Source organism: Homo sapiens, chromosome 17 (genome assembly GCF_000001405.40).
Source record: "Homo sapiens chromosome 17, GRCh38.p14 Primary Assembly".
Taxonomy (NCBI): Eukaryota; Metazoa; Chordata; class Mammalia; order Primates; family Hominidae; genus Homo; species Homo sapiens.
In genome coordinates, this window is record NC_000017.11 from 77213200 (window position 1) to 77239160 (window position 25961).

The 25961-nt window shown below is 51.2% G+C and overlaps 1 protein-coding gene across 7 annotated transcripts in view, besides 5 other annotated features; it reads left to right on the top strand.

The window, feature by feature from the left end:
* The window catches only part of SEC14L1 (SEC14 like lipid binding 1), a 128417-nt gene extending 124515 nt beyond the window's left edge, over positions 1-3902 (top strand). For 5 of the 7 annotated variants that reach the window (NM_001204410.2, NM_001143998.2, NM_001143999.2 and 2 more), the window contains 2 exons: positions 115-293; positions 719-3902. In NM_001204410.2, coding sequence (NP_001191339.2) covers positions 115-293; positions 719-824 — 285 coding nt within the window. In that variant the 3' untranslated portion in view covers positions 825-3902. The remainder of the gene's footprint in view (positions 1-114; positions 294-718) is intronic. The other 2 variants (NM_001204408.2, NM_001039573.3) reach the window with 1 other exon arrangement.
* Positions 4596-5119: an enhancer, noted in NCBI's record as "H3K27ac-H3K4me1 hESC enhancer chr17:75213877-75214400 (GRCh37/hg19 assembly coordinates)". NCBI's record gives its function as "activates a minimal SCP1, AML or CMV promoter by ChIP-STARR-seq in naive and primed H9 embryonic stem cells {active_cell/tissue: H9 hESC(naive and primed)}" and the evidence as "EXISTENCE:reporter gene assay evidence [ECO:0000049][PMID:30033119]".
* Positions 7846-8347: an enhancer, noted in NCBI's record as "H3K27ac hESC enhancer chr17:75217127-75217628 (GRCh37/hg19 assembly coordinates)". NCBI's record gives its function as "activates a minimal SCP1, AML or CMV promoter by ChIP-STARR-seq in naive H9 embryonic stem cells {active_cell/tissue: H9 hESC(naive)}" and the evidence as "EXISTENCE:reporter gene assay evidence [ECO:0000049][PMID:30033119]".
* Positions 8348-8847: an enhancer, noted in NCBI's record as "H3K27ac hESC enhancer chr17:75217629-75218128 (GRCh37/hg19 assembly coordinates)". NCBI's record gives its function as "activates a minimal SCP1, AML or CMV promoter by ChIP-STARR-seq in naive H9 embryonic stem cells {active_cell/tissue: H9 hESC(naive)}" and the evidence as "EXISTENCE:reporter gene assay evidence [ECO:0000049][PMID:30033119]".
* Positions 20024-21223: an enhancer, noted in NCBI's record as "BRD4-independent group 4 enhancer chr17:75229305-75230504 (GRCh37/hg19 assembly coordinates)". NCBI's record gives its function as "activates an origin of replication core promoter dependent on BRD2, P300/CBP, MED14 and CDK7 cofactors, and independent of BRD4, by STARR-seq in HCT116 cells {active_cell/tissue: HCT116}" and the evidence as "EXISTENCE:reporter gene assay evidence [ECO:0000049][PMID:35650434]".
* Positions 22348-22642: an enhancer, noted in NCBI's record as "tiled region #14112; K562 Activating non-DNase unmatched - State 7:EnhWF". NCBI's record gives its function as "activates a minimal TATA promoter and a strong SV40 promoter by Sharpr-MPRA in K562 cells {active_cell/tissue: K562}" and the evidence as "EXISTENCE:reporter gene assay evidence [ECO:0000049][PMID:27701403]".

A 25961-nucleotide genomic window follows, 5' to 3' on the forward strand; every position in this document is an offset into this window, starting at 1 on the left:
TTTCCGTAGCTACATGAAATCCTAAAGACAGTCCCCTTGGCGCTTGTCAGGCCTGTGGTAGGCCAGGGGTCGGAAGCGAGTCGCCCTCAGCTGCCACTGCCCTACTTGTTCTAGGGTTCCCATGTGACCAGGTGGCCGGGCTTCTACATCCTGCAGTGGAAATTCCACAGCATGCCTGCGTGCGCCGCCAGCAGCCTTCCCCGGGTGGACGACGTGCTTGCGTCCCTGCAGGTCTCTTCGCACAAGTGTAAAGTGATGTACTACACCGAGGTGATCGGCTCGGAGGATTTCAGGTGCGGCCACCCTCGCCACAGCAGGTGCTGCGGACAGCTGGGCATGGTTGGAGGGAGCCTGCAGTCCCACGCCGTGTGCAGGATCAGCAGTGGCGGCGGGTGTCAGGAATGCTTGGAGGGCCAGGAGGGAGTGGCTTTGGGGTCATTTGTTGGCACGGTGACTCCCTGCCTGTCTGCAGAGGGAGAGTGTCGGAGACAGAGCCGACTGACTGCCTTTGCTTTAGCTCACACTGCCGTCTGCGTGCAGGCTGTGGGAAGCCGGTCCCCCTGGTGGGTTACTCATGTCCATCCCCCGTTTGCAAGCACTGATGGGGATGAGAAGTGAGCAGAGAACAGGGTGGGCCACGAAGTCCAGCAGGCAGTGTGGGCCGGCGGGTGGTTGGCAGGGTGGTCCTCACGCCTCGCCCCTCCCTGTGCCATTACAGAGGTTCCATGACGAGCCTGGAGTCCAGCCACAGCGGCTTCTCCCAGCTGAGTGCCGCCACCACCTCCTCCAGCCAGTCCCACTCCAGCTCCATGATCTCCAGGTAGTGCCGCGCTGCCTGCACCTAGTGTGCAGAGGGGACGGCCGCCCCTCCTCGGACAGCCAGCTGCACCCGCCCACCCAGCGGCGACATTGTACAGACTCCTCTCACCTCTAGATAGCAAATAGCTCTCAGATGGTAAACGTAGTCGTTTGATCCCAAAACTACCTTGGCAGGTAGTTTTAACTCTGATCCTAACTTAACTCAATAGCCATAGATTTTGTATACGTTGTGCACAAAATCCAACCAGAGCGCAAGGGCTCTCTTGAAAGAAAAGTAGTTTCTGTACCAATTAAAGGATTGACGTGGTCTCAGATATTGATGCAAAAAATTTTTCCAACGAACTCCGCATTGTCCATTAGTGAATGAATTCCTGTGACATCCTCCAGAGATGGCCCCTCCTCACCTGGGACGGAAGCTGCCAGCTCGCTTCCCCCAAGCTGCCTCATGGCCCGCACGCCGCCTCACGGCCCCCATGCTTCCCGCCAGTCAAGATGGTCTGTGGACTTAGGGCCAGCCCTTGAGGTCCTTATCCTCTGAGGATTCAGAGGTTGCCTGCGGAGTACCTTGTCCCAGGGCCAGACACACCCACACCACCCACTGTCCTGCAGTGGGGCCGGGGGCTCAGGAGGGGCTCTCAGGGACTCCTGGTGACTCCAGGAAAATGCTGCCATCGTTAAACATTACTTTCTCTTTCCTCCTTTTCAAATCTTTTTGATACTTTTTAGAGCAGGATTTTTCTGTATGTGAACTTGGGTGGGGGGGTTCTTCCCGTTTCCTTCCGTGCGTCGCCCCTCTCACCTGCAGTCAGCTCCCAGCCCAGTGTAGGCCATCTCCTCTGTGCCCTCTGGTGGCTCATTGTCCTCAGAGCCCAGACAGTTCCAGCCACTAGGAGGCCGTCTTGGAACCAGCAAGTCGCATTTGCCACTTGACACTGTCCATGGGGTTTTATTAGTAGCTAAGCAGCAGCTCTCGCATCCACTTCAGGGTGGCGTGTGGCATGTAGGAGTCCTGCTTCTTTGTACATGGGAATTGTGGACTCATGCGTGTGTGTGTGTGCATGTGCTGTGTGTGTGCATGTGTGCATGACGGTGGGGGTGCTGGGGGGACGGGGTGAGTGGAAACTTAGTTTGAGTAATGAAGGAATCTTCACAGAAGCAAATCAGAATATGGGATTTGTTTGCCTTTTACATTTTGTTTAATTCCTGATTTTAAAGCCTGCTCTATCTGGTACAGGCCCTTATTTTTTCAGCTTTTTATGGGAAAAGCAGGTTATTTGAGAATCTGTCCAGAAGTTGCATAGGGGATGGCCTCCACGATAAGGACATGCAACACGTGTTTCTGTGTGCAGCAGAGGCCGTGTTTTTCATGCCAAACCCCACGCGGCTGTCAACTGTGTGCGTGGTAGGCATGGAGATCCTGGTTGTGCCGTCTCAGCTCCGCTCTGAAGGCACTGTGTGGGTGCTGCGTGACTGGAGAGCTGTGTGGAGGCCATGTGTGCCCCGTGCAGGGATCAGGAGGGCGGGGGAGGGACCGAGCAGCCCTCTTGCCCGGTCGGGTCAGCCCTAGTGGCTGCCTGCACACTGTAGACGTCCCAGGGCCTGTGCTGTGATCACCTGCCTTTGGACCACATTTGTGTTTGCTCTTAGAGATCGAGCTCCTCAGTGGTACCTGAAGCCTTTGCTTCCGGAAAGCGCGGTAGGGTTCGTAGGTAGGGCTAGTAGGTAGGGTTAGTAGGTAGGGCTAGTAGGTAGGGCTAGTAGGTAGGGTTCGTAGGTAGGGTTCGTAGGTAGGGCTGGTAGGTAGGGTTAGTAGGTAGGGCTAGTAGGTAGGGTTAGTAGGTAGGGTTCGTAGGTAGGGTTCGTAGGTAGGGTTCGTAGGTAGGGCTAGTAGGTAGGGTTAGTAGGTAGGGTTCGTAGGTAGGGTTCGTAGGTAGGGTTAGGTAGGGTTCGTAGGTAGGGTTAGTAGGTAGGGCTAGTAGGTAGGGTTCGTAGGTAGGGTTCGTAGGTAGGGCTAGTAGGTAGGGTTAGTAGGTAGGGCTAGTAGGTAGGGCTAGTAGGTAGGGTTAGTAGGTAGGGCTAGTAGGTAGGGTTCGTAGGTAGGGTTAGTAGGTAGGGCTAGTAGGTAGGGTTCGTAGGTAGGGTTCGTAGGTAGGGCTAGTAGGTAGGGTTAGTAGGTAGGGCTAGTAGGTAGGGCTAGTAGGTAGGGTTCGTAGGTAGGGTTCGTAGGTAGGGTTCGTAGGTAGGGTTCGTAGGTAGGGTTAGTAGGTAGGGTTCGTAGGTAGGGCTAGTAGGTAGGGCTAGTAGGTAGGGCTAGTAGGTAGGGTTAGTAGGTAGGGCTAGTAGGTAGGGCTAGTAGGTAGGGCTAGTAGGTAGGGCTAGTAGGTAGGGTTCGTAGGTAGGGTTCGTAGGTAGGGTTCGTAGGTAGGGTTAGTAGCGCGTCTGTGCTGCTTCCACCTGGTGCTTCCTGTTCCCAAATCACAAGGGCCTGAAGGTGGTCCCTGCTTTCTCTTTCTCTTTCTCTGTGTCTCAGATGGCGATTTTGCTGACAGCTGCCAAGAAAATGCTTCACTCAACAGTCCTCATGTGCCCAGAGATGTTTATAGAACTGTTTGAATTGCAGCCATCCCCTGCCCCCTCCCAGGCTGAAGATCTGTTCTTTTTAAGTTGATTCGGGAGTGGCATTCTTTTATACCCAAAGACTGTAGTGCATCTTGAAGAGCTCAAAGCACATGACCGCACAAATGCTTACAGGGTTTCCTCCCGAGTAATCCAATCTCACTCCCCTTGTAAGGGAATTCTGGGGCAGCTATGGTTTGAGTATGCAGTTTGCATCGTGTTTCTACCTTTAGTACCTTGCCACTCTTTTAAAACGCTGCTGTCATTTCCCATTTCTTAGTACTAATGATTCTTTGATTCTCCCTCTATTATGTCTTAATTCACTTTCCTTCCTAAATTTGTTATTTGCATATCAAATTCTGTAAATGTTTTGTAAACATATTACCTCACTTGGTAATACAATACTGATAGTCTTTAAAAGATTTTTTTATTGTTATCAATAATAAATGTGAACTATTTAAAGAAAAGAATGTCTTTTTCTTATTGTGAAACAACAGTTTCCCTTGAAGAGTTTGAGATTCTTAGGAGAATTTAGAGATTGAAGAAAGAAGAGAGCTTCTGAAGCCAGAGTACTGATGCTCTAGAAGTTCAAGAAGAGCTTTAGCTTGTGTGGGAGTGTTTCACAGGTGAGCGGTCCGGCCTCAGAAGAGCTTTAGCTCATGTGGGAGTGTTTCACAGGTGAGTGGTCGTTCAAGAAGAGCTTTAGCTCCTGTGGGATTGTTTCACAGGTGAGCGGTCCGGCCTCAGGTCACAGCCGTATGTTTGCTGATGCAGAAGCGAACCCAGTGTTTGTCCTCGCTTCTGTAAGAAGACATGATGTGGTTTTTCTTAAACGCAGCCAGATCTAACATCACTGTGATGGGGCGATCCCTGCTGTGATGTTTCCGTTGTGATAAAAAGGATTGCTTTCATCAGGCGCCTCCAAGAAAATAAAAGAGGCAGGTGTGGACCTTTAGAAGCCTGGATTACCTTATCTCCACTCCCCTGCCAATCAGTGGGTCTTCGGGGGGTCATAAACCAGTGGGCAGAGCAGGCTGCTGGCTCGGTGAAGCTCAGGGCAGGCCAGAAGGCGGCTCAGGGCAGCGTGCCAGGGTGCAGAAGCCAGTGCCTCCCTAACTGGGAACCGCAGGATCATTGGCATTCCTAGTAGTCCGTATCTGTCCTTGGTGGGACACAGCCAAGGGGTCTGGCTGGCACCTGGGTGGGAAGCAGGGGAGACCGAGGGTGCCCTGCACGTCCATGCTGGGCCTGGGCCGTCAGTGTGTCCACAGGCAGTCAGGACCTTAGCCGTGCCAAAATCTGATGATTTAGTCAACCTGCGATGGAAGGAAGAGGCTTTTTACCTGGATTCCCTTTATGCCCTCATATTTCTGTGTCTGTTGTCAAGTCGGACCTACTGTTACCAAGCTTTTGGCTTGGCGGTCCAGTTCTCAGGGTGGAAGCCAGAGGCAGCTTGGAAACTAACTGAGGGTCGTAGGATGATAACCCGCAGCCCGTCTCCTGACCACCTTCAGAAAGGGCCACACTGAAATGGAGTGTCTTGAACAGCAGTGTGTTTATATTGGGCCACCAAACCATTAGTAATGCGTTTGTTCTCTGTTGTTGTGGGTTTTTTTTTTTTTTTTTTTTGAGACAGAGTCTTGCTCTGTGCTCTGTCACCCAGGCTGGAGTGCAGTGGCACAATCTCGGCTCACTGCAACCTCCGTTCTCAGGTTCAAGTGATTCTCCTGCCTGAGCCTCCTGAGTAGCTGGGGCTACAGGCATCCACCACCACACCTGGCTAATTTTTGTATTTTTAGTAGAGATGGGTTTTTGCCATGTTGGCCATGCTGGTCTTGAACTCCTGACCTCAAATGATCCACCCACCTTGGCCCCCTAAAGTGCTGGTATTTCAGGCGTGAGCCACTGCACCCGGCCAATGTGATGATTCTTAAATATATCATGTTTCCTTTAATACTCCATCTCTGCAGAACTTTGGCAGAGCCCAAACCGTAGGTTGTCTTCCAGTTCTTAAGTTGTGGTGGAGGCATTCTTATTAATGTCACCATGAAACAAACCAGTTGGAATCAGTTTTGCTTGAAAAGTGAGGGCTTTGGAAAGCCAGGGATTCTGGGAAGATGGTAATACAACTAGACTGCAAAACCTAAAACCGGTGGATGACTGAATGGTCACTTTAAAATGGTTGAAATGGCAGCGTTTGTGTATGTGTTTTGGCACGATAGTAAGAACAGCCTATGGACATCATTTACGGCAACACTAGCTGATAAAGTATCCCCATAAACCCCAAACCAGGGGTGAGTCGGGGTAAACCACCAATAGTTTCCAGAGCTTCCGGACCCATAGGTTATCCGTGTCTGAGGGAGAAAGCAGAGGTTACATGCAAAACGTCTGATGGATGGGAGAGCAGGAGAAGCCACGAGGCCCCACGAACCCCAGTGGGAGGCCAGTGTGTGCTCAGCAGGTAACACGGCCCAGCTGGGCTGCACCTGGAGCCTGGGGACACGGAGGCTGTTGGGAAGAGGATCGGGTTGAGGGGAGCAGACCAGGCCCTCTGGACTCCCTGGACTGACCTGCCAGGGCTCACTTCTGGAAGGAACCTCACAGTGAGGAAATAAAGCATATTCCACTGCTTGGAGGGAATAAAGTCAAGCAGGATGGGGACCGAGTCTGTGCAGGTGCCTGGGAGGGTCATGGGCAGGGCAGCGGTGAAAGCAGACGGATGTGATGTTTTAAACGTTTCACAAAACAACAGAGGGAGCACCGCAAAATTAGAGCAGCTTTCTTGAAGCATACTTCATTCTGAATGTTTATGAAATACTTTTCCATAAAAATGAGCATCAGAAAAGTAGCAAAGTCAAACCTATAGAAGGCTCAGAGTAGGGAGCAGAATAATACTCCCACCAACAATGAAAGCAAGCCAGAAAGGCATGCCTGCAAAACAGACCAAAGAAAACACATTTAAAAACTATTTTTGTTTTATTTTTATTTTGTATTTTATTTTGTTTTTTATTTTTTGAGACGGAGTCTTGCTGTGTCGTCCAGGCTGGAGTGCAGTGGCATGATCTCTGCTCACTACAACCGCTGCCTCCTGGGTTCAAGCAATTCTTCTGCCTCAGCCTCCCTAGTCGCTGGGACTATAGGTGTGCACCACCACGCCTGGCTAATTTTTGTATTTTTAGTACAGATGGGGTTTCACCATGTTGGCCAGGCTTGTCTCGAACTCCTGGCCTCATGTAATCACCCTCCTCAGCCTCCCAAAGTGCTGGGATTAAAGGCGTGATCCCACACGCCCAGTCTAAAAACAATTTTAAAAATGAACTAAAAAAACTTAAAGAAAATGATATGAAACGTGAAAAGCATAATCAGAGTTAGAAAAACTCAGAAATGAAGTGACAGAACTCAAGAAAGATTAGAAATGCAGGAATCCTTTCAGAAATTGAGACAAAGTAGAGGGAATGCAAAGTGAAAAAACAATGCCAAGTGAAAATGAGGATGGTTTTTTTTTTTTTTTTTTTGAGATGGAGTCTCACTCTGTCACCCAGGCTGGAGTGCAGTGGCGTGATCTTGGCTCACTGCAAGCTCTGCCTCCCAGGCTCACGCCATTCTCCTGCCTCAGCCTCCCGAGTAACTGGGACTACAGGCGCCCGCTACCACGCATGGCTAATTTTTTGTATTTTTAGTAGAGACGGGGTTTCACCATGTTGGCTAGGATGGTCTCGATATCTTGACCTCGTGATCCACCGGCCTCGACCTCCCAAAGTGCTGAGATTACAGGCGTGAGCCACCGCGCCTGGCTGATTTTATAAATCGAAAAGGATGGAAAGCCTTCAAAAGTGATGCTGTTGAAAATAAGCAAACACATGAGTGCCACTGAAAGAGTGAGGGTCTGAGAAGGACCAACACCAAGAGTATTTTAGGAAAAGTTCTGGACTTAAAAAATCCTTGGGGCATCCTGGGAATCAGGTTTTTTGAGGACTGAGCTTTCTGCCAGAAGGAAATGGATTAATTAAGACTTTTCAAGGAAAGAGCCAAAAATTTTATGTCCAGCAAGACTGACCTCCACGTATAAAGGGTGCTGATACAGGCCAGGCATGTTGGCTCACACCTATAATCCCAGCACTTTGGGAGGCTGAGGCAGGCGGATCACCTGAGGTCAGGAGTTCGAGACCAGCCTGGCCAATGTGGTGAAACCTCATCTCTACTAAAAATACAAATATTAGCCCAGAGTGGTGGTGGGTGCCTGTAATCCCAGCTACTCGGGAGGCTGAGGCAGGAGAATTGCTTGAACCCTGGAGGTGGAGGTTGCAGTGAGCCAAGATTGCACCATTGCCTTCCAGCCTGGGCAACAAGAACGAAACTCATCTCAAAAAAAAAAAAAAAAAAAAAAAAAGTAAAGGGCGCTGATAAAGCTATCAGTGTGCAGCAGCTTGGGCCTACCACCCTTCCTGAGCTATCCAGCGACTAGGCTTCAGGTAGTGTGGTGGAGAGTCATGAGACCTGGCGGTGGGCTCAGGGTCCTGCCCATCTGTACAGCCGAGGCTAATGAGGGCAAGGGGGCAGTGTGTATTGGCTCCGACAATGTATTGATCACACGAAAGTTTTTGTTTGTTTTGAGACAGGGTCTTGCTCTCGCCCAGGCTGAAGTGCAGTAGCCTGATCGTGGCTCACTGCTATCTCAACATCCTAAGCTCCAGCAATCCTCCAGCTTTAGCCACCTGAGTAGCTGGGACTACAGGCATGCACCACTGCACCCAGCTAATTTTTGTATTTTTGGTAGAGATCGGATTTCACCATGTTGCCCAAGTTGGTCTCCAACTCCTGGGCTTAAGCAATCCACCTGCCTTGGCCTCCCAGAGTGTTAGGATTACAGGTGAGCCACCATGCCTGGCCTGTTTTTGTTTTTGTTTTTTGTTTTTTTTGAGACGATCTTGCTCTGTCACTCAGACTGTGCAGTGGCACAATCACGGCTCTCTACAGCCTCCAACTTGACCTCCTGGGCTCCAGTGATCCTCCTGCCTCAGCTGCCCAAGTAGGACTGCAGGCATGTGCAAGTACACTCAGCTAATTTATTTTTATTTTTGTAGAGATGAGGTCTGGCTGTGTTGCCTAGGTTGGTCTCAAACTCCTGGCCCTAAGCAGTCCTGCCACGTTGCCATCCCAAAGTGCTGGGATTACAGATTTGAGCCACCATGCTTGGCCAGCAAAATTGTGTTTTAAAATGGGAGGAGAATAGAGGGAACATTTGCAAATATCTGTTGTTTTAGTGGTTATATTAGGGGCAGTATTAACATCGTTATGCTGAGTTTTTGTATGGTAACAAGTGAGTAATTAGGGGCTGTCCTCAGCCAGCTTTCCCCAGGTCCTGTGTTGAAGGTTGTCTGTGTGGAAGATAGATCAGGGAGTGGTTAAATAGAAGCCCTGTAGTCGCCAGGTGTGGTGGCTCACGCCTGTAATCCCATCGCTGGGAGACCAGGGTGGGCGGATCACCTGAGGTCAGGAGTTCGAGACCAGCCTGGCCAGGTGAAACCCCATCGCTACTAAAAATAAAAAAATTACCCGGGCATGGTGGTGCACGCCTATAATCCCAGCTCCTTGGGAGGCTGAGGCAGGAGAATCGCTTGAACCCGGGAGGCGGAGGTTGCAGTGAGGCGAGATTGTGCCATTGCACTCCAGCTTGGGCAACAAAGCAAGACTCCGTCTCAAAAAAAAAAAAAAAAAAAAAAAAAGAAGAAGCCCTGTAGTCTCAGATTTGAATTGGAAGGTTAATATGAATTCATGAGGTATTTTTATCTTTAAATGTGTATGTGTGGTGAGTTTAAGTGAATTTACTTAGAAACAATGAGCAGCCCATTACAAAGAGAATCTCTAACATCCCGATTGAACCCAGGCGTTCCTGTTAAAATGACTCATTCCAAGTCTGGGACAGGAAATGGGCCAGATGAGCCTGGGACGTCTTGTCATGTATCACTTGGGAAAAAAGCGATCAAAGACTATTAGGGGGTGGGCACAGTGGCTCATGGAGGCAAACGTGGCAGATTGCTTGAGCCCAGAAGTTCGAGACCAGCCTGGCCCACATGGTGAAACTCTGTCTCTACTAAAAATACAAAATTAGCCAGGCGTGGTGGCAGGCACCTGTAATCCCAGCTACATGGGAGGCTGAGGCAGGAGAATCACTTGAACCTGGAAGCTGGAGGTTGCAGTGAGCCAAGATTGTGCCACTGCACTCCAGCCTGGGTGACAGAGACCATCTCGAAAAATAAAAAATAGGGTCATGTCAAAAGGACTCAGCAGACTCAAAGAGGCCTTCACTGGCCAGAAACGAGACAAGTTCAACTTGTCCCAATTATTATTGTCCTATAATAATAATTGCAGGACGCCATTGAATGTTAAGATTCATGAGTTCATAATTTTAATATATAACATAATTTTGGATGATAGGGAACCATTTATTTTGAAAACTGGTAAATAAGAAGCAAGCATTTATCCCAGCCTTTCCTAAATGCACGATAGATGAAGATGAGTATCTATAAAAGTATTTCAACTTTCACTAACTATAAAAATGATAGAATAACATCATTCTGTAATCCTGATGAATAAATAGATAGAAATATTAAGCATCAGCTGCTAACATCACACACACAAAAGACAAGCAGATGTCCTGTGTCTCCTAGAGATCTACAGTCTTGCCAGAGTTTTGTTATCCAGACTGAATAGATCCAGTCTCTGAATCCAGCTGCCAATTTGCAAGAAATAGAGACCAAGGAACCTGTTGAACTGTACTGTGGGAAACTGAAGTCAGAAGGCTCAGGCTCTTTATCTTTTTTTTGTTGTTGTTGAGATGGAATCTTGCTCTGTCGCCCAGGCTGGAGTGCAGTGGTGCGATCTCGGCTTACTGCAACCTCTGCCTCCTGAGTTGAAGTGATTCTCCTGCCTCAGCCTTCTGAGTAGCTGGGACTACAGGCATACGCCACCATGTCCAGCTATTTTTTGTGTGGTTTTGGTAAAGACGGACCTTCACTATGTTGGCCAGGCTGGTCTCGAACCCCTGACCTCAAATGATGCGCCCGCGTCGGCCTCCCAAAGTGTTGGGATTACAGGCGTGAACCACCCCGCCCGAACAGAAGGCTCAGTCTCTTTAATTTGTAGGAAATGTCCCACCCAATTCCTTTCTTTTTCTTGGAGCAGATCTATTGTAAGTTTTAAAACACGAGGAAGCGATCATCACAGCAGCCGGAAAGCGGCTCCTCCCTGGGCAGAGGCTGTGGTGTGGTGTGGGGTCGGGGCAGTCCTGGCTCCTGGGGTCCTCTGTGCGCTTGTGTGCATTTCCGTGTTTACTTTACAATAAAAAGGTTTATTATTGTTTGGTTGTTTTTTGTTTTTGGTTAATGGCTTTAGACAGGTTAGCTTGCCTTGAAGAAAAGTTAACACTGGTTATTAGGAACTCAGGTCGTCTTCTATCCAAATCACGGGGCTGCTGTGACCTGTGGCACAGGTGCCATTGAGGACATGTCCTGCACTAGCTCGTGTCTGGTCCGATGTGCGTGCCGGCTGTGCCGAGGGCAGCAGCTTCCGTGTTCCTGGTCGCTTCTGTTCCCCAGGAGAGAATCTGAGGTTGTTCCAATTAAAGCTCTGTCCCCTGTGGTGTACTGTCTGTGACCTGTCCTGCCTTCAAATAGAAGCAACCAGACTATTTCCCACTCCGACCTTGCCTTTGGGCTTAAGAAACTGTCACCAGGACCCAGTTTTGACAGTGACAAATCATCATGAGCCCTTACTGAGTCTCTTTGCACTGTCCCCAGCCACTTTATGTCCGATTAGAGACACGAGGGAGAGAAAAACCTGCTGCCTGCCCTCTCTGAGCTGAGAACCAGTGAGGGGCAAGAGGCCGGTGCAACTCCTGAAGGAGAGAACGGGGTGCAGAGAGAAGGGGGACCCTTCCAGCTCCATCTGCAGAGCCATCTCGTTTCCGTTGGGTGAATGTTCAGTCCCAAGTTGAAAGTTAAGTCCTTGTCTGGCTGCCAAGCCCTGCCTGTCCTTTCCACTTTGCCAGGGCGGTGTATTAGTCTGCTCTCGCATTGCTATAAAGAAATACCTGAGCCTGGGTAATTTATAAAGAAAACGGGTTTCATTGGCTCACGGTTCTGCAGGCTACTGGAAGCATGGCGGCATCTGTTTCTGGGGAGGCCTCGGGGAGCTTTCACTCATGTGGAAGGTAGAGCGGGAACAGGCTTCTGATATGGCAGGAGCAGGAGCAAGACACAGCCAGGGGAAGGTTGCCACACACTTTTTTTTTTTTGAGATGGAGTCTTGTTCTGTCACCCAGACTGGAGTGCAGTGGTGCAATCTCGGCTCACTGCAACCTCCGCCTCCTGGGTTTAAGCAACTCTCCTGCCTCAGCCTCCCGAGTAGCTGGGACTACAGGTGGGTGCCACCACACCCGGCTAATTTTTTTGTATTTTTAGTAGAGAACGGGATTTCACCATATTAGCCATGATGGTCTCGATCTCCTGACCTCGTGATCTGCCCGCCTCAGCCTCTCAAAGTGCTGGGATTACAGGCGTGAGCCACCGCATCCAGCCTGCCACACACTTTTTAACAACCAGATCTTTTGGTAACTCACTCACTATACAGTACCAAGGGAGGATGGTGCATTAGTCCATCCTCATTCTGCTAATAAGGACATACCCAAGACTGGGTAACTTATAAACAGAAAAGGCTTAATTGAGTCCCAGTTCAGCATGGCTTGGGAGGCCTCAGGAAACTTACAACCATGGCAGAAGGGGAAGCAAACACATGTCCTTCTCCACATGGCAGCAGGAAGGAGAAGTACAGAATGAAAGTGGGGAAAGCCCCTTATAAAACCATCAGATCTCATGAGAACTAACTCAATATCATGAGAACAGCATGGGGGAACTGCCTCCATGATCCAATTGCCTCCCACTGGGTCCCTCTCACCACGGGTGGGGATTATGAGATTTGGGTGGGGACACAGCCAAACCATATTAGATGGTGCTAAGCCATTCATGAGAATGCCACCTGCATAATCCAGTCACCTCCCACCAGGCCCCACCTTCAACACTGGGGATTACAATTCAAAATGAGATTTGGGTGGGGACATGGATCCAAACCATATCAGCCAGTTTACACCCAAGAGTGAAGCCAAGCAACAGCCCCCTAAGGCGGAGGCCCCTGGAGGTAGTCCTGGCTCTGCCAAGAGTCACTCCTCCTCTGGCACTATCCTGTGTCTCTTGTAACCTGGCTGAAGCTCTCAGAGCTTGGGGCAGTGACAGCCTTTGCCCCCTTCAGCTCTGCCCTTGGAGTCAGAGCCACGAGGGGAGACCCTCCAGCCCTCATGTCCACTGGAGTCCTACCCGGGTCCCTTTTTTTGTGTGTGGGTTGTTGGTTCGTTTGTTTTTTCTTGATATGGAGTTTCACTCTTGTCTCCCAGGCTGGAGTGAAATGGCGCGATCTTGGCTCACTGCAACCTCTGCTTCCTGGGTTCAAGTGATTCTCCTGCCTCAGCCTCTTGAGTATCTGGGATTACAGTCACCTGCCACCACTCCCGGCTAATTTTGTATATTTTTAGTAGAGAGGGGTTTCACCATGTTGGCCAGGCTGGTCTCAAACTCCTGACCTCAGGTGATCCACCCATCTCGGCCTCCCAAAGTGCTGGGATTACAGGCTTGAGCCACTGCGCCCAGCCTTACCTGGGTACTTTTATGTGTCAGCTTGACTGGGCCACGGGGTTCCCAGATGTGTGGTCAGACATTATTCTGGGTGTCTGTGGGTGAGTTTAACATTTAAATCAGTGGACTGAGAGGAGTAGACTGTGCTCCCTAGTGTGGGGGGGCCTCATCCAGTCAGTTGAAGGCCTGCATAGAACAAAAAGCCTCACCCTCCCCCGAGGAAGAGAATTCTCCGGACTGCCTGCCTTCAGACTGGGACACTGGCTTTTTCCTGCCTTGGAACTTGAATGCTGGCTCTTCTTGGGCCTCAAGCCTCAGACTGGAACCCTGTGGTCCGCTCTCCTGGGCCTCCAGCTTGCCGACTGCAGCAGATCTTGGGACTTAACCTCTGCAATCACATGAGCCGAATCCTTGTCATCTCTGTGTGTGTGATTCTCTGTCTCTCTACACACATGTACATACACCCTGTTGTTCTGTTTCTATAGGAGATGTGCTCCAAAATCCTGGAACTGCAAAACCTTTGACTTCTACAAAAAATGGGTTAATCTGGAATCATCTCTCCTTGGTTCGTATGTGTGTGTGTATGTGTGTGTTTGGGGTTTTTCTTCCCATCAATAGGCTTATCCCAACCGGTTGCAGTGGCTCACTCCTGTAATCCCAGCACTGTAGGAGGCTGAGGCAGGCAGATCGCTTGAGCCCAGGGGTTCGAGACCAGCCTGACTAACATGGTGAAACCCCATCTCTACTAAAAACACAAAGATTAGCTGGGTGTGGTGGTGGGCGCCTATAATACCAGCTACTTGGGAGGCTGAGGCACAAGAATCAATTGAACCTGGGAGGCAGAGGTTGCAGTGAGCCGAGATCGTGCCACTGCACACCAGCCTGGGTGACAGAGTGAGGCTCTGTCTCCAAAAAAAAAAAAAAAAAAAAAAGGAAAATAAAATTAAAACATTTTTGTGGACACCTAAAGGATCATGGGCCCAGTGGAGAAGGTGGCCCTCCTCCCTTCCTCAGAGCCCCCGAGCCCTGCCCTGTGGGGTGGGAAAGAAGGGGACCTGCCCAGTGTCACGGTCAGTGGCCAAGCTGGACGACAGGTAATCCCTGAGTCCTGCCCCAGCCAGCCCTGCCCTCTGCTCTCCCAGAACCTAGAATCTGGGGGAAGATTGAACAAGCTCTTCCTTGAAGGGAGGGCGCCGCCTCCTCTCACCCCCTGCCACGGGCATCGGTGTGAGGCTGTGCTGGGGGCTGTGCTCACCCTCTGCGTCCCCGATGGGGCAGTGTCTGGTACCTGTGGAGTTCCTGGAAGAATCTGTGCCCTGATTGCCATTGTGAGCTGTGCCGGGGAGGCTCTGTAGGAGAGGAGGAGCAGTTAGCCGACTATTGGGGCGTGGGACAGGCTGGTCACGGGGCTCCGCTTCCTGGAGGGCTGCTGCTTTCGTAGGCCTGGCATCCGCCCCTCCAGCCGCATGCTGTCTGATTGTTCCCTGCAGGAGGTGCCAGCCCCTAGCTCTGGCAGCATCAGAGGAGCACATGAACCGAATGCTTCCAGAAGGCTCTGCGGCTGGTGGGGAGAAGGCTCTGGAGACCTTCAGTGAGTTGTGGCCTGTTCCCCGCTTCTCTCCGCACCGTTGGATGAGCCTCCTGTGGCATGGCTGGAAGGGCTGGGCGCTGAGGGTGTAGGCATCAGGACAGCTTTGCCTGGGCTGCCCACATTCTCTGCCCTGGGGGGACAGGGGCAGCTGGCGAAGCCCTCGTGTGGTGTCTCAGTGAAGTGCCCAGTGATGGGCTAGGGCCACCCCTGTCCTGAGCCTCCCCATGGCCCTCCAGTTCTTCCCTCCCTCCCACCTGCTCCTGTCTCCTTCGTTTTCTGTTTCTGTCTGGGTTGACTCATGACATACCTGAGAGCCTCCTGGCTTCAGCCTCTCTGCCATCCCCAGAGCAAGGAGGGCTCGGGGGGCACACAGTGTGGGAAGAGGCTGGACGGGAAGGCCAGAGGGTCACAATGGGTGGCGGGCGCCCTCCCTGCTGCCCCGTCTCGCCCGGCTCCCAGAGTCACTCATTCGGGCTCACTCTGGGCCCTCAGCTGCTCCCTCTGATCCCAGCCTCAAAGGTGCAGCTGGTCTGGTTAGACACGTGTTCTCAGAAGGAGCAGAGAGTGATGCATTAATTTATCCTTTGTTGACTCTGAAAGTCAAAAGCTCCCGGGGAATCTGGACTAATCTCTCTCCTAGAAGTGGCTGATTATTTGTAAAAGGATCTGAGCTTGCTGAGTGTCACATGGCAGTGGGACCTCCATGCAGGTCCCTGAGTGGCCATGCCGCTCTCCTCCCCTTCCCGCCCAGGCCAGGCCTCCAGTGCTGTGCTTCCGCTGTTTCGTCTGCCTGGGACGCTCCCGCCCCTGGAGAAGGAGAACTCAGGAAGCTCTTCCCTGAAGACATTTGTGGGGGCTTGGCCAGCCTCCCTTCCTGTCCCCCTTGTCCCCTGCACAGACTTTTGTGCAACGCTGCGATGATTTATTTTATTTTTTATCTCTTGTAGTGATGGGGTCTAACCATGTTGCCCAGGCTGGTCTCAAATTCCTAGGCTCAAGCGATCCTCCCGCTTCGGCCTCCCAAAAGGCACAGACACAAGCCACCGTGCCCGGCCCTGTGATGTTCATGGAACTGACTTGTCCCACGTCTGTCTCCTTCTCCTTCCTACCTCTGTGTGACCGGGCCCTCGAGCTGTGCTGGACACACAGAAGGTGCTGGTGCATGGAAGGTGGAGGTCAGAAGGGCCTCCCTTCCCCCGCGAGAAGGGCAGGTCCTACCACAGCATGGGTGGGCGCCTGGGATGTGGAAGGAAGCTGAACTGCTTCTAGTCCAGGCTTCTCAGGCTGCATTCACAGGCCAGAGCTTTTTTTTTTTTTTTTTTTTTGAGACAGAGTCTCTACCTGTCTCGCCCAGGCTGGAGTGCAATGGCGCAGTCTTGGCTCACTGCAGCCTCCGCTTCCTGGGTTCAAGCGATTCTCCTATCTCAGCTTCCCGAGTAGCTGAGACTACAGGCATGTGCCACCACGCTCGGCTAATTTTGTATTTTTAGTAGAGACGGGGTTTCACCATGTTGGCCAGGCTGGTCTCGAACTCCGGACCTCAGGTGATCCACTGGCCTTGGCCTCTAAAGTGCCGAGATTACAGGTGTGAGGCACCGCACCCAGCCCTCCCGCAGTTCTGATTGGATAACCCAGCCCAGGAGTGCCCCGGAGCCCTCCCTCTGGCCGTATGCTGAGCTCAGTGCCTCACCCCCACCATTTTAGTCCCCACCCATCCCTGCAGGGTCAGTCCTACTGTCCCCACTGCACAGATGGGGAAACTGAGGCTCAGAGGGGTTGGGGAAATTTGCCCACAGTTTCAGCCAACAAAATGGAGAACAGGATCCAGTCCGGCCCCAGGCCCTGCTCTGCTGACCTCTGTTTTATCTTCCCACCCGGGACCCAGAGGATGGGGTGCTCCTCAGGACTCGCCACAGAGCCCGACCGGAGGACTGGGAATGTGCCCACAGCTGGGACAAGGAACCAGCCAGCAGCATTCCTGGCAGGCCCATCCCAGCCAGGTGAGGCCCCAGCTCCTCTTGGCTTCTCCCACTGTGGGTACGGGGACGTGACAGCAAATAGACTGTCCAATTTCCCTGCCCTCGCGGAGTAAGATGGAGAGGAACGTTCTGGAGCAGACAGTGATGGCTGCTTCTGGGAGACACAGCAGGGAAGCGGTGAGCCATGCAGAGAGTCGGGGGATTGGCGTCGGCCTCTCCCCTACATGCTCCTGCCCGCCCCAAAGCCCTCAGTGTCTCAGTGCTAGTCTGGACTTTCCCTCCCTTCCTGGGACTCAGGGAGGGATTCTTTTGCCTGCTGGCCACAGCGGGAAGCAGCAGATGCTGCCCGGGCCGGCCTGTGGGGACGGCACCCTGCCTCTGGAAGGCTCGGTGATGCTGCGGCCAGCCGGTGTCCACCAGGCCTGTGCCAGGTGAGATGGGCCTTCACGGTGGCCTGGCTCCGTGGACCAGGCCCCCGGATGCATCCCTCCCCCAGCAGGCAGTGGATTGGAGAGGAGCCCTAGGAGCACGAGGGACCCCAACTGGGGGGACTTCAGAGGTGCCTGCCTGGGAGGGGGCAGGTGCAAGAAAGATACTTCCAGGACCCCGAGGGAGGAGACAGCCCCGGACTTCGAGGCTCATGGCCAGAAGGCTGGGAGCTCCCTGAAGGCAAGCACAGGGAACCCAGAAGACAGCAGCAGGCAGGGGCCATGGATGGGGGCCTTGGGGCCAACCACCCGGTGAAGGCTTGATGGAAGGAGGGAGGGAGCCACCGACGGTCCTTGAGGGTCCTTGGATGCCTGCTTATGGAGGAGTAGCCTGACACTGAGAAGTGAGGGGGCATCCAGGTCCCAGGTCTGGGTGAGCCAGGTGATCTGGTTTGGCTCTGTGTCCCCACCCAAATCTCATCTTGAATTGTAATCCCCACATGTGGAGGGAGGGAGGTGATTGGATCATGGAGGCAGCTTCCCCAGTGCTGTTCTCGTGATAGTGAGTGGGTTCTCACGAGGTCTGATGGTTTTATAAGGGGCTCTTCTCCCTTCCTATTCCTTCTCTTTCTCTCCTGCTGCCTTGCGAAGAAGGCGTCTGCTTCCCCTTCTGCCGTGAGTGTAAGTTTCCTGAGGTCTCCCCAGCCATGTGGAACTGTGAGTCAATTAAACCTCCCTGGCTGATAAATTACCTAGTCTCGGGTAGTATCTTTATGGCAGTGTGGAAATGGACTAATACAGCAGGTGATCTGGGAATGGAGGGGAAATACTTCTGGGAATGTCACTGATCTAAAACCTGTCTGTAGTGGGGTTGGATGACGAGCCACGCTGGTGAACCGATTTCCTGATCCTCAGGGATTCCTGCAGGGGTGGCCCAGGTTCCTGCTCTAGGACATGGGGATGTATGGGCCCGCTTGTCTGGTTCCAGCCTTTGGGGCCTGCTGAGATTTGCTGGGGCCGCAGGAAGAGGAGCAGTTGGCTTCTTGCTTGAGAACTTTTCAAGAACATTTTCAGGGTGTAGATGAGTGAAGGACCCACATGCTGCTGTGCTCCTAGTTTATGAACTACTGATCTTTGCTGACTCTATGGAGAGAGCAATGGATGGAAGGGATGGAAGGCCCTTTGCTTTTGAAAGCAAAATAGAGAACATCTGAGCTATGCAAGAAGAGCAAGGACAGGGACCTATTGTAATTCTGTGCACGGCCCCCTCTTGACATTCTCCACTCCTGTGGAATTTGGTTTTACGACCACAGGACTAAGCTAATTAGGACTTAGCTGAGGAGATGGGCCGTGTTTCCCTGTGCTCAGATGGTGACGGTGTTGTGCACCTTCTCTTGCCACAAGATCCAGAGTCAATGAAGACAGGACTCCAGAGTGTTTGCACAGAAGCCGGGTCTTCCAGCCAAAGTGGATTCTGTGTGATTACAAGTTTGCTAGTAATGCCACCCTGGTTTATTTATTTTAATTTATTTTATTTTTTTAAACAGCAAAACCAAAATGAAGCAATTGAATTGGGTTTCACAATAATGAAGGAAAAGCCTTGTGTCTATTTTGTTTGTTTGTTTGTTTGAGACGGAGTTTCGCTCTTGTTGCCCAGGCTGGAGTGCAGTGGCGCCATCTCGGCTCACTGCAACCTCCGCCTCCCAGGTTCAAGCGATTATTCTCCTGCCTCAGCCTCCCGAGTAGCTGGGATTACAGGCACTGGCCACAATGCCCGGCTAATTTTTTTGGTATTTTTAATAGAGATGGGTTTTCACCATGTTGGCCAGGCTGGTCTCGAACTCCTGACCTCAGGTGATCCGCCCACCTCAGCCTCCCAAAGTGCTGGGATTACAGGTGTGAGCCACCACGCCCAGCCCTTGTGTCTGTTTTTTAATTAAAATTTTGATGGAGATAATTGTAGATCCACATGCAATTGCAAGAAATCACACTGAGAAATTCCTTTGACCCTTTACTCATTTTCCGCCAATGGCAACATCTTGCAAAATTATAATTCGCTACCACAACCAGGCTATCAATGTTGGGACAATCCACCAGTCTTATTATTTATTTATTTATTGAGACAGAGTATCACTCTGTTGCCCAGGCTGGAGTGCAGTGACGTGATCTCAGCTCACTGCAACCTCCGCTTTCCAGGTTCAAGTGATTCTCCTGCTTCAGCCACCCGAGTAGCTGGGATTACAAGTGTGCAGCACCACGCCCAGCCAATTTTTGTATTTTTAGTAGAGACCGGGGTTTCGCCATGTTGGCCAGGCTGGTCTCGAACTCCTGACCTCAAGTGATCCACCTGCCTTGGCCTCCCAAAGTGCTGGGATTACAGGCATGAGCCACTGTGCCCAGTCCCAATTTTTTTTTGATGCCTGCTCCTTCTGAGGCAGGTGTACTGATTTTTATGTGGACGTAAACTTTCGTTTTTCCAGGCAGTACAATAGCCGCCGTGTCATGTGGTAGTTAGTTGCGTGTTTTGTTTGATAAGAAACTGCTGTCCTGGCGCAGTGGCTCACGCTTGTAATCCCAGCACTTTGGGAGGCCAAGGCAGGAGGGTCACATGAGCTCAGGAGTTTGAGACCAGCCTGGGCAACATGGTGAAATCCCATCTTTACTAAAAATACAGAAAATTAGTCAGGCATGGTGGCATGTGCCTGTGGTCCCGGCTACTTAGGAGGCTGAGGTGGGAGGATCACTTGAGCCCAGGAGGTCAAGGTTGCAATAAGCCGACATCACACCACTGCACCCCAGCCTGGGTAACAAAGTGGGATCCCGTCTCAAAAAAAGAAAAGAAACTGCCAGACTGTTTTCCAGAGTAACTGTACTGTTCCCGCCAGCAGTGTGTGCGTGATCTTATTTCTCTGCATCCTCATTAGCATTTGGTGTTGCCACCATTTTTTGTTTCAGCCGTTCTGATAGTTAACGCAGTGATATCTTATTGTAGTCGTAATGTGAATTTCCCTAATGGCTCACGATATTGAACGTCTTTTCACGTGCTTATTTGCCATCCGTATATCCTTTTTGGTAAAATATTTCATATCTCTTGCCCATGTTCTAATTACATTCTTTGATGCTTTTCTGTTGAATTACACTGAGGGAGGTAAGGGAACCAGCCAAGCAGATTCCCTGGAGAAGAACATTCCAGAAAGAGAGAAGAGCTAATTTAAAGGCCATGAGACAGGAGTTCAGGGTGTTCAAGATAAAGCACCAGAGTCAGTGTAGCCGGGCGAGTGAGCTGCGGGAGAGGGAGGCACATTCACCAAATAATTCATGGCCACCCCCATAACCGGCCCCGCTACAGACAGGCGGCACCGCGCAGTTGGCCCAGGCCCCCACGACGGGAAGGAACGTGGGCCACTCCTGGGCAGAGGCATGAGGAACAGGTGAGCGATGCCTGGCCTGCCTTCTGCTTCTTGATGATGGCTGGAGGCCACGCATTGAGTTTGTTGAAACAAGATTGTGGCAGCCTGGATGGGTGAGTCACCGCGTGGAGCCGCTGCTGCTCTGGGGAGCTGCCTGGCTCGCTCTGGACTTAGCGTGAGCGAGAAGTAAATCTGTAGTGTATCGTGTCTTGGAGACATCAGGGCTTATTTGTCACCACTGCAAAAATGAGTTCATTCTGACAAATACAGGGATGAGGTCAGCAAAATGAGTTCATTCTGACAAATACAGGGATGAGGTCAGCAAAAATGAGTTCATTCTGACAAATAGAGGGATGAGGTCAGCAAAAATGAGTTCATTCTGACAAATACAGGGATGAGGTCAGCGGGACTTGGCGGGTGTGGGGGGCCGGTCAGGTCCTGCAAGGCCTTATGGGTCTTGGTAAGGACACCAGCTTTTTGGCTTGAGTTCTGAGTGAGATGGGAAACAGCTGCCTTTTCTCATTTGACTTTGACTTCCTCCCCTCAACCCCACCTGCTGCAATGAAAGTCGTAATATTTATGAGGTCAAAGGTATTCTCTTTCTCAGTAGCCTCTGGGTTTTGTATCAGCTTGGAAACGACTTTTGCATGTTTAATTCTCCTCCTACCTTTTTTTCTCGTACTTTCATGGCTTTTTAAAATTTTATTTTTATTTTGTTTAGAGGCAGAGTCTCACTCAAGGCTGGAGTGCAGTGGTGCCATCTCGGCTCACTGCAACCTTCCCCTCCGAGTTCAAGTGATTGTCGTGCCTCAGCCTCCCAAGTAGCTGGGATTACAGGCACGTGCCATGATGCCCAGCTAATTTTTGTATCTTTAGTAGAGACAGGGTTTCACTGCGTTGGCCAGGCTGGTCTCGAACTCAAGTGATCCTCCTGCCTCGGCCTCCCAAAGTGCTGGGATTACAGGCGTGAGCCACCGCACCCGGCCTTCATGGCTTTATTTTTTTACACTGAAATCTCTGATGCATCTGGTGGGTTTTGTGTAAGGAGTGAGGTCGAGCTTTTAATGAGTCCTAAATGGTCCTCTAGATTCAGTGTCTGCATGACAAAGCTTATGGCCAGCTCTTTGAAACTCTGGAGAAACCCTTTAGGGAACTGATGCTGGGTCTAGGGTGGGAAGGGCATCGGGGTGGTGAGAGGAGCCCCAGCAGATCACCAGGGAGGGCCAGGGCCGGCTGGGTGGCTGCCTGGGACAATTAGACAATTATGAGGAGTGTGGTGGCCAGGCGTGGTGGCTCATGCCCGTAATCCCAGTACTCTGGGAGGCCAAAGCGGGTGCATCACCTGAGGTTAGGAGTTCGAGGCCAGCCTGGCCAACATGGTGAAAACTCCTCTCTACAAAAAATTAGCTGGGTGTGGTGATGGGCACCTGTAATCTCAGCTACTTGGGAGGCTGAGACAGGAGAATCACTCGAACCTGGGAGGCGGAGGTTGCAGTGAGCGGAGATCACACCATTGCACTCAAGCCTGGGCAACAAGCGCGAAACTGTCTCCAAAAGAAAAAAAAAAGGAGTGTGGAAATAACCCAGGAATAAAAAAAACACAGTGCTAACATCACATTGTGTAGCCCCAGCGTGAAGGGGTTTTTGGCCACCACAGGGAGCAGAATGTCCTTTGGTGGACATGACAAGAGTCTTTTCTGAGGCACCCTGTCTGCGGCACAGCTGCCTGGGTGCCCGAGGAACAGCCCTGTGTCAGCATTTAGTCCGCTGAAACATGCAGCTAAATAACCAGCCGGCTGTCTTCCGAGAACAAGTGATTTATTTTTATTGCTTCATTTTTAAACACTTCAACATGCCTCCCAAGAAGCTGTGTGGTTTGGAAAAGCGTAAGAGAAAGCTGAAGAGAAAATGCAAGCTGGAGAAAAGTGGGGATGCTTTGCTGACACATTCTTCCGGAAACCAGCTCGGCTCTGCCAGGCGTGTGTTTTTGGCCAGTGCCATTTCCGGGCCCCTGGAGTTGATGGACATTTCCTGTGCGGGGTCTGATTCCCACTACAGATTTGAAAGAGGCATGCAGATTTTTATTTTAAAAAAAACTAAATAGAACCTGGTAGCCAGACATGGTGGCGCGAGCCTGCAGTCTCAGCTACTTATGAGACTGAGGTGGAAGAATCGCTTGAGCCCAGGATGTGGAGGTTGTAGCGAGCCAAGATTGCAGCACTGCACTCCAGCCTAGGTGACAGAACAAGAGACCCTCTCTCAAAAAACAAACAGGCTGGGCATGGTGGCTCATGCCCATAATCCCAGCAGTTTGGGAGACTGAGACAGGTGCATCACCTGAGGTCAGGAATTCGAGACCAGCCTGGCCAACATGGCGAAACCCCCTCTACTAAAAATACAAAAATTAGCCAGGCGTGGTGGCAGGCGCCTGTAATCCCAGCTGCTCAGGAGGCTGAGGCAGGAGAATTGATTGAACCTGGGAGGCGGAGGTTGCAGTGAGCCGAGATTGTGCCACTGCACTCCAGCCTGGGTGACAAGACCGAAACTGCGTCTCAAGAAAAAAACAAAAAACAAAACAAAAGCCCAAAACAAAAAACCCAAAATAAAAAAAACAAACTAAAGAATATTGGTTTTTCTGTCTCTCAAAATATGTAGTGAACATCTCTCAATCTAAGGGGCATTGTAGTGTTAGCCAGCTGAGGTAAAAAGGCAAGACCCATTCGTCTCCAAGTGTCCTAGCTGGGGCTCTTAAAGAACCAGCAAGGCCAGGTGCAGTGGCTCATGCCTGTAATCACAGCACTTTGGAAGGCCAAGGTGGGAGGATCATTTGAGCCCAGGAGTTCAAGACCAACCTGGGCAACATAGGGAGACTTTGTCGCTACCAAAAAAATACAAAAAAATTAGCCGGCCATGGTGGCATATGCCTGTAGTCCCAGCTATTTGGGAGGCTGAGGTGGGAGGATTGCTTGAGCCTGGGAGGTCAAGGCTGCAGGGAGCTGTGATGGCACCACTGCACTCCAGAGAGAGACCCTGTGTCAAAAAAGAAAGAAAGAAGGAAGGAAAATGAAGGAAGGAAAAAAAAGGAAGGAAAGAAAGGAGAGAGAAAGAAAAGAGAGAGAAAGAAAACAGAAGAGAAAAGAGGCTGGGTGCAGTGGCTCATGCCTGTAATCCCAGCACTTTGGGAGGCTGATGCGGGCGGATCACCTGAGGTCAGGAGTTCAAGACCAGCCTGGCCAACGTGGCGAAACCCCATCTGTACTAAAAATACAAAAATTAGCTAGGCATGGTGGCAGGCGCCTATAATCCTAGCTACTAGGGAGGCTGAGGCAGAATTGCTTGAACCCAGGAGGCAGAGGTTGCAGTGAGCCAAGATCACACCACTGCATTCCAGCCTGGGTGACAGAGCAAGACTACGTCTCAAAAAAAAAAAAAAAAAAAAAAAAAGGAAAAGAAAGAAAGAGACTGATTTAGTGATTTAGTTTGGCTCTATGTTCCCACCCAAGTCTCATCTCCAATTGTGATCCCCATAATTCCCATGTGTTGAAGGGGGGACCTGGTGGGAGGTGATTGGGTCATGGCAGCGGTTCCCCTATACCGTTCCCGAGATAGTGAGTGAGTTCTCAGATGATCTGATGGTTTTATAAGGGCCTCTTCCTCCTTCGCTCATTCACTCTCTCTTGCCTGCTGCCATGTAAGACATGCCTTTGCTTCTCTCTTGCTTTCTGCCATGATTGTAAGTCTCATGAGGCCTCCCCAGCCATGTGGAACTGTGAGTCAATTAAACCTCTTTCCTTTATAAATTACCCAGTGTCAGGTATTTCTTTAGAGCAGTGTGAGAACGGACTCATACAGAAACCAAAAAGAAGGCAGAATGGAGGAAAGACAGCAGGTCCAGGACTTGGTCACCTTGATGCCCCAGTGTGACCTTTTGTCCCACTGAGTTCCCAGCGCTGGCTGTCACATGCTCAGGGCTCAGCCATCTGCTCCTCATGCAATCTCCAGTGTTTGCAGAGCAGGAGGATGTTTCCAAGGAAATCCTACTGGAATATCACCAGAGTTCCCTGGAAGGCATCAGGGACAGTGGTGAGCTTGGCAGTGAGCCTTCTCCACCTCCCTAGTTCAGGTCCTGCCCACCGAGAGTTAGGGACGGTCTTGGTGCTGTTGGGCCGTCCTGACCACCGTGGCAGCCAGCAATGGGCTGGGTTTGTCTATGGCAGGTTTCTCAGCAGGCACGGCTGACATGCTGTGCAGGGTCATTCTCTGCGGGGGGAGCCGTCCTGTGTGCACTCTAGGATGTTTAGCAGCGTCTCTGGCCTCTACCCACCAGATGCCACTAGCACCCACCCAGCTGTGACAACCAACAATGTCTCCAGACACTGTTTTTTTTTTTTTGTTTTTTCAAGACGGAGTCTTGCTCTGTCACCCGGGCAGAAGTGCAGTGGTATGATCTCAGCTCACTGCAACCTCCACCTCCTGGGTTGGGTTCAAGCGATTCTCCTGCCTCAGCCTCCCGAGTAGCTGTGATTACAGGCACCCACCACCACGCCTGGCTAATTTTTAAATTTTTAGTAGAGAAAGGGTTTCACCATGTTGGCCAGGCTGGTCTCGAACTCCTGATCTCAAGTGATCCTCCCAACTCGGCCTCCCAAAGTGCTAGGATTGCAGGTGTGAGCCACCGTGTCCAGCCAGACACTGTTTAATGTTCCCCATGTGGGCAAAACTGCCCCTAGCTGAGAATCATTGATCTAAACTAGCACTTTTATGACTGAGAGGATGAAACTGAGGCCCGGAAAGGTTAAGACACTTGACTGAAGTCACACAGTGAGCCCCTGGGATGGAGCTGGGGCTGGGCCCCTAGCACAAGCTCCCAGATTGGGGCTCCATCTTCGGAAATGGGGCAGCAGGTGTGGTGTGCGTGATTCTGATGAAAGATGAGACTGGAATCCACCTAAGGTTGAAATCTCCCACAGACGACCCTGAGATCACAATGCTCAGACAGGACAGACATTAATCTCCTTGGTGGTACAAAGAGCCAAGGTGATTCAATTCCAGGCCCCTGCAGAAGCTTTTTCCAAGGGCTTGGCAGGTGTAGACACTCTTCCACCAGATCCTGCCCTCGTTAGCATAATCTGAGCAGCTTCTCCTAAGATGGAAGGTCCACGCCCTGATGGGGCAGAGAACACAGGCTTCCAGATCAGGAACTGGGACTCTGGGGCCAGATGGCAAAGGGTTCACTTCTGAATAATGCCAGCATCCATCCTATTTCTCTCGCTTAGCTTTATGGTGGTGTCTTCATTGTCAATATAAAAAACACTTCAGGCCAGGCGCGGTGGCTCACGCCTGTAATCCCAGCACTTTGGGAGGTTGAGGCGGGCGGATCATGAGGTCAGGAGATCGAGACCATCCTGGCTAACCCGGTGAAACCCCGTCTC